General features: G+C 45.0%; 1 protein-coding gene and 1 long non-coding RNA gene across 5 annotated transcripts in view, besides 5 other annotated features; one reads left to right on the top strand and one right to left on the bottom strand.

The window, feature by feature from the left end:
* Positions 1 to 8,970, bottom strand: part of RPIA (ribose 5-phosphate isomerase A) — a 59,257-nt gene extending 50,287 nt beyond the window's left edge. For both annotated transcript variants that reach the window (NM_144563.3, XM_047443733.1), the window contains exons 1-3: positions 8,660 to 8,970; positions 2,099 to 2,159; positions 579 to 634 (exon numbers count right to left, since the gene is read on the bottom strand). In NM_144563.3, the coding sequence (NP_653164.2) occupies positions 579 to 634; positions 2,099 to 2,159; positions 8,660 to 8,944 (402 nt within the window). In that variant the 5' untranslated portion in view covers positions 8,945 to 8,970. The remainder of the gene's footprint in view (positions 1 to 578; positions 635 to 2,098; positions 2,160 to 8,659) is intronic.
* Positions 1,802 to 1,976: a silencer, noted in NCBI's record as "fragment chr2:88998185-88998359 (GRCh37/hg19 assembly coordinates)". NCBI's record gives its function as "represses an EF-1alpha promoter that drives an FKBP-Casp9 reporter gene in an ReSE screen in HepG2 liver carcinoma cells {active_cell/tissue: HepG2}" and the evidence as "EXISTENCE:reporter gene assay evidence [ECO:0000049][PMID:32094911]".
* Positions 8,004 to 8,183: an enhancer, noted in NCBI's record as "active region_16174". NCBI's record gives its function as "activates an Ori minimal core promoter by ATAC-STARR-seq in GM12878 lymphoblastoid cells {active_cell/tissue: GM12878}" and the evidence as "EXISTENCE:reporter gene assay evidence [ECO:0000049][PMID:35858748]".
* Positions 8,414 to 8,583: an enhancer, noted in NCBI's record as "active region_16173". NCBI's record gives its function as "activates an Ori minimal core promoter by ATAC-STARR-seq in GM12878 lymphoblastoid cells {active_cell/tissue: GM12878}" and the evidence as "EXISTENCE:reporter gene assay evidence [ECO:0000049][PMID:35858748]".
* Positions 8,744 to 9,043: a silencer, noted in NCBI's record as "silent region_11733". NCBI's record gives its function as "represses an Ori minimal core promoter by ATAC-STARR-seq in GM12878 lymphoblastoid cells {active_cell/tissue: GM12878}" and the evidence as "EXISTENCE:reporter gene assay evidence [ECO:0000049][PMID:35858748]".
* LOC102724805 (uncharacterized) overlaps positions 9,167 to 12,021 on the top strand; it is a 40,267-nt gene continuing 37,412 nt past the window's right edge. For all 3 annotated transcript variants that reach the window (XR_940345.3, XR_940344.3, XR_007087132.1), the window contains exon 1: positions 9,167 to 9,888. This is a non-coding gene — a long non-coding RNA (uncharacterized LOC102724805). The remainder of the gene's footprint in view (positions 9,889 to 12,021) is intronic.
* Positions 9,424 to 9,493: an enhancer, noted in NCBI's record as "active region_16172". NCBI's record gives its function as "activates an Ori minimal core promoter by ATAC-STARR-seq in GM12878 lymphoblastoid cells {active_cell/tissue: GM12878}" and the evidence as "EXISTENCE:reporter gene assay evidence [ECO:0000049][PMID:35858748]".

Raw genomic sequence — 12,021 nt, 5'->3', positions numbered from 1 at the left:
TCACTCTGTTGCCCAGGCTGGAGTGCACTGGCACAATCACAGCTCACTGCAGCTTGGACCTCCTGGGCTCAAGGGAGATCCTCCCGCCTCAGCCTCCTACATAGTTGGAACTACAGGTACAAGCCACCACACCCAGCTAATTTTTGTATTTTTTGTAGAGGCAGGCTTTCACCATAATGCCCAGGCTGGTCTTGAACTCCTGTGCTCAAGTGATCTGCCTACCTTGGCCTCCCAAAGTACTTGAGATTACAGGCATGAGCCACCACACCTGGCCTAGCCTGATTTTTTTCACCTATAAATAGGAGTAATATTCCTTGAGGAGAGAGACTACCGGGCCATCTCTGCATTCTCCGTAGTGCCTAAACTCAACATGCACTGAAATATTCACCAAGTGATTAAACAAATGCACCTAAAACTACAATTCCAAGAAGGAATCCTTGGTCAATAAACTCTCCTATTCCTGGACTCTCTGACCTAGAACAACCTTGAGGTACAAGACAAGGCCATAGGTCCACAACCCCGGGGAACCAGAAGATACAGCAGAAGCTGTCACGATGCAGATGGAAAGCAGGACATACCTGGAAGGAAGTGGGAATACAGACGAGGTTCAGATTCTCTTGCTTCACCCTTTCAGCTGTGGAAACAAAAGCCATATTGGCAGTTTTTCACTCTCCTTACTTTATTCTTCTTGTCATATGTGTTTGCTCGAAACCAACAGACAAGGGAAGGTCTATTTCCCAAAGACAGCTGCCTTTCATCCTGTGTCCCCCTCCTTGGTGGGAAAGTTGGTGACTGTACCTCACACATCAGAAGATAGGGACACAAGAAAGCCTGGAGAGGTAAGTACTGACCACAGAAAGCAGTGTCAGTGTTTGCCATTGTTATGTGCCTGACAATATTCTAAGAACTTTGTATATATGAACTCTTAATCCTAACAACCCAAAAGGTAAGTTAAATTATTTTCCGCATTTTGCAGATAAGGCAACTGAGGTTCAGAGAGGTAATGTAACTCGGTAGTTATACTGCTAATAAGGGACACAGCTGGGACATGATCCCAGGCCATGTAGCCACACAGTCTTAACTCCCCTATATTGCCTCTTCTAGGAAAAAGCCAGAACTTTACTTTTGCATTTTAGTAAAAAACATACTTATTTGTAGGCCCCAGAGAGTAGCTAAAGGAGATTTATTTTTTCAATTTGGATTTGTACCTTTCAGGAAAGTTTGATTTAAAAAAAAAAAAAAGACTTCAGGAAAAAATTCGTATTAAAATTTCAAGTCTTTTTAATCACTGAGTGCATCTTGGGAGGTTTGGGTGCCACTATTATAAAATCCATAGTAACTCCTGTGCCCTGAAAGTATTCTCCAGATACTTGGTTAAGATTGAAAGGTATATAACACAAAAGCTCCTATTTGGCCAGTGAGAAGGCTTCCAGAAGCCATCACACCAGCACTAAAACCACTCCTTGATAACAAAGTGTTCCTGGACTTTACCTCCTGGGCTCTGCCCCTTGGCACCTAGAAGAATTCAGCATTCAGGCAGGCCTCTCCTCTGGGCTTTGTTCTTACAAACAAAGAGCAGGGAAGTAAAACCTGTTGAGCAGCCATAGGGGCTGATAATTCCTGAGTCTTTCCTAAGCATAGAGACACCCTAATCAGTGTGAAATGAGCACCTGCAGGAACCAGCCATCAATGGCAGGAGTCCCACATCCACTCCAGGGTCATGGACAGGGCAAACCCACTATGGCCTCAATTATCTGCCTGAGGAAGTCTGAGCTCACGCAAAGAACTCAATGGTAGAATGCCATCAACATGATTAAAATTATATTGGGACCTCAAGCTAAGTCAGCTCCTCCCCTCCAGCTGAGCAGAGTAAACAAAGGCAAGGGCGTCCTTCAAAGTTGGATGAAGAGGCCCAAGATTCCCTCTCTCCACAAAAGAGCAGAAACACTCAACTGACCTCAGGTAGTCCCTCTCTCCAGCTCTGTACTGCTGAAGCCAAAAGGGCAATGCCAAACCTGTGTGCCACTTCCTCCCTCTCCTCTACCTCCCTACCCCATCATCACACACAAAACATCCAGTAGACAGTGAGAGAGCATACCTATTCGCTGCACAGCATGGACAATTGTAGAACCACTTCCAATTCCCAGCACTTGGTTATTCTGCCAAAAAACGGGGAAGAAAAAACAAAACTTATTAATATCATATTTTACTCCTTTGTCAGCCTACTTCCTAAAGCTATAAAATTATTATGAACAGCAATCCACCAACACAGGTACAAGACAGGTACTGTGCCTATTTTATAGGAACATAAACAATGAACCTCAATGCTGTACTTTAGCCAATCCATGGTGGACAAATGTTCAACAAGGCCCTCCTCTCTTCATTTCTGACACTGTCAACACCACCGCTTCCTCCCTACATTCTACCAAATAATTGGTGCAATTACTTGCAACTGAATAGCAACTTGCGTCACCCTCACAGAAATGGCCTGCATATAAACACTTAAAGATTCCTGACATTTCAAGCCAGCAACAGTGTGTTTAAAAAAAAAAAAAAAAGAAAGAAAGAAAGAAGAAGAAGAAAGAAAAGAAAAAGATTCCTGGCCAATCCCAGGGAGGCAATTAGAAAAACACCTAAGAAAAAACAATAGAGCCTGGAGCCTGGGTAAGGGAGGAAAGCTAAGGCTTCTGGCTTCAGTGTCTTCCATAGGCACCTTCAAGTTGGTAGCACCACAAGACACATCAGGCCCACCATCTAGAGCTCTCCCAAAGTCAGCAGATAAAGGGAGGGCCTGAAGTAACCTCAAAATAATAAAGTATGTCAGCATCTGCCTAGGTGACACCAAGGGGTGCTCATTTTGCATGAGCCTGCCTCAGAGAAAATGGAAAGAGGGCAAAGGCTTAGTTAAGAACATGAAAAATAGTCTTCATCTGCAATAGAAAGGATCATAATAAATGCAGAGCACTTCCTGAGTACAAAGTACAGGCAGACATCACAATACGGAGCCTACCTACAAGCAGACCAAACAAGAAGAAACAAAGAAGGTACCTACAAGCAGACCAAACAAGAAGAAACAAAGAAGGTACCTGCAAGCAGACCAAAGAGTAAAAGCTCAGCTGAGTCTACTAGACCACAAAGAGCAAAACGAGGCCAGGGTACTAACAGTCAGGAACTAATATGCAGCTCAGTGCCTAAGCAACTTCCTGACATCTATCTCCTGCCTTTGCAAGGCAAAGCCAAGTGAACACCAAAGCGGCAGCTACCATTTATTAAGCACCTACCAAGAAGACTTATAAATGTTAATATAAAGCCAAATCTCACAACAATCACTTATGACCTACAGAGCCACTATTTCCACTTTATAGATGAGTTCAATATTGTAAGGAAAAACTTAAGACTTTGAAATGAGCAAAAGAGACTACTGGATATCCTTCCAATGGGATGCTGGAACCTGCTTGTATTGTCTGACTCTAAGAAGGTATGTGCCTTTGTCTTTAAGATATATGACGACTGTATAGAGATACACTTTAACTTGCAGAAAACTGTTAACAAAGCAAGTAAGTTTTGTTCATTGAAATGCAAATTAATAGTGTTCTGTGAGACACAATTATTAACAGATCTTCTAAATTCATTTTAAGATTTTTTTACTACATATGAGCTTACAGTTGACTTCTCCTGTTATGCTTTGAACATCTCCACCAAAACTCACGTTGAAATTTAATTGCCATTATAACAATATTAAGAAGTGGGACCTTTAAGAGGTGATTAGGTCAGAGGGCTCCACCCTCATGGGTAGGATTGGTGCCCACCCATAGCACTTCAACATCTGTCTCTCTCACCAGATGCCAACGCCTTGATATTGGACTTCGTAGCCTCCAGAAGTATAAGCCAAAACATTTCTGTTCATTATAAATTACTCATTCTCAGGTATTCTATTATAGCAGCACAAAATGGACTAAGACACCTATGAACAGGTTCTAATAACCTTTCCAGTTCCCTCATTAATTTAGTGAGTTAAATAAAATCTTTGACATATATTTGTTTTATATATGTGTGATTTTACCTGTTTTAAATATATATACAAGATATACAATATATCTTGTATATATGTTTATAATATATATAAACTATCAATGCCCCCCCACACACACACAAACTCATCTTCAAACTCCTGGGCTCATACAATCCTACTGCCTCAGCTTCCCACATAGCTAGTACTATGGGAACATGCCACCATGCCCAGCTAATTTTTTTAATTCTTTTAAAAGACACAGTCTCACTCTGCCAACCAGGCTAGTCTCGAACTCCTGGCCTCAAGTGATCATCTCACCTCTGCCTCCCAAAGTGCTGGGATTACAGGATGAGCCATTTCAATCGAATAAGCAACTTCAGGAAGTTCAATTCGCTGAAACATCAATCTATTTCAAATTTCTTAAGATTTCCAACAACTGATTAACAATTAATTTATTTGACAAAGGAAAGCCCATAGTAAAACCTTCTTTTTAGGAAGAAGACAAGTCCTGAAGGGCCCTCAGGACAAGCAGGGCCACAACTAAAATCCTTCATTCCCCACAGGACAAAGGCCATAGGAATACTTAAAGTCAGCCCCTAGGCCTCACATTAGATATGGTCCTTCTCAAAGCCTGACTACATCTATAACTAGAAAAGATTAGAAAGAATGACCAACAAGTAGAGTTACCAAAAAAAAAAAAATCAAATACTAATGTCCCCACAACCATATACATATATACTAAAAATGCTACTATAGCCTCTCCTACCTACAGAAGACTTTATCCAACAACTTTTGTGTTATTGACCTGGTGGAAACTGCTTTTACTAGCTCACAGTTCCAAAGGCACTGAATACATCAGGGGCTTGGGCTGTCAGAACAGGGCTCGCACTAGGTCAGGATTCCACCTATACCAATGCTCTCAAGAAGGCAATGTGTGTAGTAAAGTTGTTTAGCTACCTGGACAATCCCCAAAGGCAAGGACTTCAAGACAAGTAAATGATACATCACAGTACAGAAACATTCAAAATGGCTAAATATCTCACATATAAAAATCTTCAAGGAATGAGAAAATGTCTTATCAAGGCCTATGTCTGAGTGTGGAAAAACTCAAACTTTTTCCTCTGCTCTCACACCACAACAATCATCAACACAGAAGACTTCTGTGATCAAATGTATGGGGATTTCTCCCCGTATCCCAAGCAAGCAATCTACTCTGCAGCAGACACCAGCTGGGTATCCTCCAATTCAATTTCAACACTCTCTACCTGGAGATACCATAAGGTTCCACTGGTTGAGGGCTCAGCTCCCAAGATTGCCTCCTCCTTCCTACCAAATGCAAGTCCAGGCCTCCAGAACTTCTGACTTGACAGCTTCAAGTTGGAGTTTCCACAACACTCTCTTTGGGTTTGATTAACTTGCTAGAGTGGCTCACAGAACTCAGGGAAAACATGTTTACCAGCTTATAAAGGCTATGATGAAGGATATGGATGAAGAGATGCATAGGTAAAGGCATGTAAGAAGGAGCACAGAGCTTCCATGCTCTCTCTAGGCACACCATCCTCCAGGGACCTTCACATGTTCTGCTCTCCAGAAGCTTCCAAACCCTGTCCTCTCGAGCTTTTCTTTTTCTTTTTCTTTTTTTTTTTTTTTTGAGACTTTATTGAATAGGTATGATTGGCTCTTGGAAAAGACCAGGAATTGCAAGGGCCTAGAAATGTGACTGAACAAAAAGGGCATGATCCAATACTAGCAGACTGACTGGGGAAACCCTGCAACGGCTGTCTGTTCAGATTCTTCTTCACCTGCAGCATTCCTTCCTCCAGGGTATGGAACAGGAACCCTTCTGAAATGGGGATCTTATGACGTACAAACAGACAACATAGGTCACAGAATTTCTTTACAGCCAGCTCCAAGACAGAAAAGCATTGGGGAGAGAAAGGAGCAAGTGGAAGGAGGGAAGGAGAAGGTAAGAGAGGGAGATTCTGTTTTCTGAGGCCTGCTTTGGGCCCTAAAGCACCCCAAATATAACAAAAGACTGTAGCAAGGGCTATGAGTGTTATGAACCAAGAGCCATGGATAAAAACATTGTGTGTGTGTGTTTAAAATATCACACTAGATAGACTTAACCTGACCTTCACATATGACCTGAAGCTAGGAACTCTAGCTTTACAGTAATTCAATCACCAAATTCCTGGTTACCAAGCTTAGCCATACATTCATGTCACTCACAGTCCCCAGCAGGCAGGTGGCACAGAGGTGAATTCGGATGAATCAGACAAGCTCTGTATAAGGCTCGTTCTTTGCCTTTTGAAAGAGACCAGGAATTGCAAGGCCCTGCCAGACCTAAAGCTCTTCACCCATGTGATCCCTGCTGCCTTGGAATCAAATGACTGGCCCAGGAAATCAGTGCCCTTGCCAAAGCCAACCAGAGGTGACCAAAGGCTGCCTATGAGGTGGCCCAACAGCAGAAGACTGCCAAGCAGGCCCTGCTAGAGGAGTGGCCCCATTCTAATGGGCAATATTAAACCACATGTATGTGCAACATCAGAACTTCACTCAGCTTGTCGAATGGAGTAACTTTGGAAATACTACTTCTGCTAACCAACTAGAACCACTGCCCATCAGCTTCCTCAACCAAGCTAGTAAAAAAACAAAGCCCAGGCTCCAAAGAGAACAAAGGGATGAGGCTACAGACATTCAGAAGAGCCTAGTTCTGCATGTCGACCCATCCTGGGTGGCTACACCCACAGAAACAGACAGAGCTGGGCCCAAGGTGGCTATACAAAGGATTCACCTGAGAACTCTCCATGTTTTCCATCCACTCAGACACGGAAGTGGTCACCATATTGGAACTCCAATGGACTAGAGAACAGGAAGCCCTACTCCCCAGAGATTCTACACAAAGAACCTCCAATAACCCCAACACTTTCGTATTTGTGTCCACACTGCACACAATTGAACAAACATGTACTGGGCAGGACCCACTGTGACCAATGCTAAATGAAGGTTAACTACCCTCCAGGAGCTTACCCTTTAAGGGGCTGGAAGAAACGAACACACAGATGACCAAAACATGAGATACAACATAAAGCACATAAGAGGCATGAAGTGCTACAGAATCACGGAAGAGAAATCTTCCTCTCCTTAGGATGCTAAGGAAAAACTGAAAGGAGGAAATGGCCTTTAAGCCAAACCCTGAAGGGCATATATGATTTTAACAGGTGCCCCCAAAAGGTCACTGTAGATCTCCCCAAAATTACCTAACTTCATGAAATGATGTGGTCAGAATCCAGTGTTTTGGGGCTCTAGCCTAAGGTCAGGGCTTGCAGATTTTTATTTAATCAAATACATGACTATAACACAAAGGTCAGGGAGATGCGCCACCAAATATTAATGTAAATTCATTAACAGGACAACTTAGATATGGGGCTTTTCTAATTGTATTCTCATGTGGATTACATTTATCTATTAGCTATTCACTGTATGCAGATATTTTGAAATTTCAGCTTATTGTCTCAATTTTACAACGGAGGCACTGAATCCCAAAGGTAGGGTCAAATTAACACATTTTACATTATCTCTGTTAATCCCCATAGAAAATCCTATTGCCAATCAGACTTACAACAAGCTACACCAGAACAGGGTAGCAGTGGAAAGAGTAGAAGGTCACACTGGAACATCCCTTCTACAGAACTGGCTGAGCCACAGGTTACCACATTGTCCACTCCCACTCAAACAGGCTGTGGTGAAGCTCATCCAACATCATCTAAGCAAAATAATTTTGTAAAGCATTAACAAATGTAAAGAACTATTATCGGAGAAGAAAAGAGACTCTAATACCACTTTCTAATAAGTAGAAACGAGAGATAAAAAGCCAATAAGACCAAGGAAACTACACCACAGGGCAGACATACTCCACTTGGCTTCCTTATTATAATTAAGATACTTGATTGGTGACAGCAAAACCACTTGGATTAAAAAAACTCCACTAACAGCACCACACCTGCCACTTAACAAACAAGTAGGGACCACGACCTGACTGAATAACAGCTAAACATCTCTGCAGACCCGCCTTAAAAAATAAACCAGCATCCTCCAGACTTAGTCCACCCAGCCCTATGGAAAGAAGGAAGTTTGAAGCCCCGGGTCTTCCCTTCCCTCCAAGAGTACACTCAGGGGCCGGCGCGCACCAAGCCCAGAACCTCCTTCGACTGAAATTTCAAAGCACTAGCAAACCAACTCTCCGCCGGCTTCCGGGTCAGTAAAGAGAAATGAAAACCTCTCCGCAGCCCCAAAGCCCACCATTTTCCATTTATTGATAAGGAGGCCACAAGGCAAGTGCCTCTAGCCCCCATTCCAAACATCAGACAGCACCAGGCTCCACTTTGCAAACTGTTCCAGCTGGACAAGGAGTCTTTAGAAAGCTCAAGTATTAGAAGATTCGCCCCCAACCGATTCCACATCTAAAAGGTCTTTAAGGAGCAGGGAAGAGGGGTCTAAACTCGGGTAAAGTGCACACCCTCTACCCTCTCACTCAGCTCCCGCCCTGCCAGGAGCTAGGCGCGCCCCGGCAGCACCCACAACGCGCAACAGTAGCCCATCACGCCAAGGACATGCGCCCCGCGCCCCACGTTTCGAAGTGCTCACCCTCACGTGGTTCTCCACAGCCGCGCGGCCCGCCAGCTTCTTGGCCTCCTCGGCCTTGGACATCGTGGAGGGGGCCGGGCAGATGCTGTTGGAGTCCCCGCAGCTGGTGCTTGTGTTGCCAGCACCGCCACGGGTCCCAGACTGTGCACGCCCCGGCAGCCGCACGTGGGAACCCGGGAGGTCCCAGCTGTTCCCTCCTCCGCCGGAGGCCGCGCCCCCGGCCCTCCCGGGCAGCGGGGCCAAGACCCGCCCGTAGAGGGTGCTGAAGGGCCCGGGGCGCTGCATCCCGACGCCTCGCTCCGGCCTCCGCTGAAGTCCCGCCCCCGGCTCCCCCGGAAATCTGGTCGCTTACGCACACAGTCTGCGTGCCCTGCTGCGCGGGTCTTGCTGGGAAATGTAGTTCTGTGGCTTCGAGGAACCCCTATCTGCGCCTCAGTCTGGACTACCAATCCCATAATGCTCTCCGCGACGGAATGCGCAATCGCCGGCGACGGGCTCCGGCACTTCGCTCTGTGAAGTACCATTAGCCGCGGGAATATCAGTATGGTGACTCCTTACCCTGGGGAAGTGTACTTAGGCCACGGCTAGGTGAAGCCCAGGGATATTTCTGTTCGCCCATGCATCCGAGAAAGGAGTGTTAGACCTGACCCTGTTGTTTCTCCCAGCAGTGAGAACGTGGCCATGGACAAGAATTCCAAGTAGTGGCACTTCTGTAGACGACGCGGCCCTTTTGGGGTTACTACAGCCCAGGAAACTCACATGCGACACGGCGCCAGCTGAAGTCCATCTAGACCCCCGCAGACCCAAGGTCACAAGTTGAGAACCCCCTGCCGTGGACATTCTTCTGCACCTAGTGGTGAAGCAGGTGGAGCTGCACCTTGCTCCGCCCATTTGGAGACTGGTTCTGCACATATGAGTGTGCCCTGCAGCGATCCTGCAATCCTTCGTGACTAACAAGGACTTTCTGTGAAAACAGATTTATCTTTTCTTCTCTACCTTTAAGGTTTCTTGCTGTTGAGAATAGTTAAGGGACGAGGAATTCTTATTGCCCCCATTTTACAGGCAAAGAAACTAATGCTGACCCCAACCTTACCGACCACTTGGAGGTCCCTAAAAACACATGACCTTTGTGTTTCTCGGCTGTTAGTGGAATCCTTTCTGTCTGCTCATGAACTCATCTTCAAACGCATTCCAGGCCTTCAGAACTCTTCCGTGAGCGCAAGTCACTGGTATGGGCCACTGTTAACTGCCGGTTATCACCTAGATTTTCTTAACTATGCTTTGCCCTCTGAGGCCGTGAGCTCTTGAATCTTCACCTTAGTCTGTAGGAGGAAAAGTTGTTTGAGATGATATTTGAATCCTTCATTTTAGGCCAAATTCAGAACATAGCAAAAGGTTCTGGCTAACATGCAGAACAGTATGTCTGGACTCCCACTACTGTTGGTCTGCAAAGTTGAAGGCTACTCTAGGCAAATATGTCACCTTTAATGTATCTCCTTAGGAGGAGTCTTTCACCTTATTCATGCTCCTCAGCACCCACACCAAAAGATTCATGAAGTAAATGTTACCTAGTCTCTGCTTTACCCCATTACCCCCGGCCTGAGGACCTTTGAACCATTTTAAATGCTCTACCTGCCAGCCTGGCCATCTGTGCATTGCTTGCTCCATCCACCCTTCTGACTCAGCTGAAATACCACCTTCCCAAAGAAGTCTAAGTGACCACCTCATCTAAATTGGGTTTCCTGCCCACCCCTCCTCTATCACTTTGCGCATGGTTGTATTTCTATCACAGAACTTCCGTCCATCATTCGTGTCCTTCGTTTTGTACTTGTTTATCATATATCCTCTGTAGAACAGAACATTCTGAGAAGACGGACTTTGGGTGTCTTTCTACAAAATCCTCCATTCCTAAAACTGCTTTACCTGTAGATGGTCCTCAACAAATATCTAAAACATTTTAAATAACAAATAGATGTCATGCTTTAACCCTACACTCCACCTTCGGCCATACAGAATTTTAGTCCCTGCGTCCATGCTCTTACCTCCGTGGTTTTGTACACTCTGTACCGTTCTAACTCTCAGATATTCTTCAAGACTTCATTCTGTTACTTGTTACTCTGCAACTCTAAACCCCACTCTTAGTTGAGTTGGCTGCTCTTCGGTGCTCACAATTACCTGTAACCTCTCTGTCATAACCATCTCACTCTATTCATTTGACTGTCTCACTCAAACGACGTGTCCCTTGATGGCAGAGACTGTTGCTCATAACATGGACAGTGCATTGTTCAATTACTGTTTTGGGGTGACAAAGTCTGTCTGTGCCTCTTTGCGTTCTCTTTCCTTCTCTCTTTTCTCCATGTTGTACTTGTCTTTCCATTTCTGCAACCCTTTTAATCCTTTCCTTAGGTTGTTATTCATGCCTAGTGATTCTCATGGACATTCCGAAATCCCGGTTCTTAGGGCTGAAGACTATGCTGATCTTTGAAATAATATGAGTATCGCATTCTGATGATACTTCATTTGCATAATTATTGATAATAGTGCCAGGTACAATGCTAAGTGCTTTGCAGACTTTATCACATTTAATCCTGACTTCAAGAAGTGGATACTGTTAACTCCTGGCCAGGCACAGCAGCTCTCACCTGTAATCTTAGCACTTTGGGAGGCCAAGGCAGGTGGATCACCTGAGGTCAAGAGTTCGAGACCAGCCTGGCCAACATGGTGAAACCCCGTCTCTACTAAAAATATAAAATTAGCTGGGTGTGGTGGCACACACCTGTAGTCCCAGCTACTCAGGAGGCTGAGACAGGAGAATCACTTGAACCCGGGAGGTAGAGGCTGCAGTGAGCTGAGATGGCACCACTGTCAGCCTGGGCAAGACGTAGTGAGACTCTATCTCAAAAAAAAAAAAAAAAAAAAGTGGATACTGTTATCCTCATTGGCATAAAAGAAGTCCTCACTTTGGGAGGCCAAGGCAGGCAGATCATGAGGTCAGGAGTTCAAGTCCAGCCTGGCCAACATGGTGAACCCCGTCTCTACTGAAAATACAAAAACAAGCTGGGAATGGTGGCAGGTGCCTGTAATCCCAGCTACTTGAGAGGCTGAGGCAGGAGAATCAGTTGAACCCAGGAGGCGGAGGTTGCAGTGAGCCGAGATCACGCCATTGCACTCCAGCCTGGGTGACAGGGTAAGACTCCATCTTAAAAAAAAAAAAAAGTCCTCACTTACTCAAGGTCACACTGCTTGTAAGCGAAGCTGGGATACGAACCTTCAGTGATTCTAGGACCAAACACTGACCTAATAGAATCACCTAGATGGGGATTTATTAATTGCCCCACCCCACCCCCAATATAGCCATGAAC

The sequence above is a fragment of the Homo sapiens genome, chromosome 2 (genome assembly GCF_000001405.40).
Source record: "Homo sapiens chromosome 2, GRCh38.p14 Primary Assembly".
Taxonomy (NCBI): domain Eukaryota; kingdom Metazoa; phylum Chordata; class Mammalia; order Primates; family Hominidae; genus Homo; species Homo sapiens.
The sequence above is the reverse complement of the archived record's forward strand: the minus strand, read 5'-3'. Positions and strand labels throughout refer to the sequence as shown.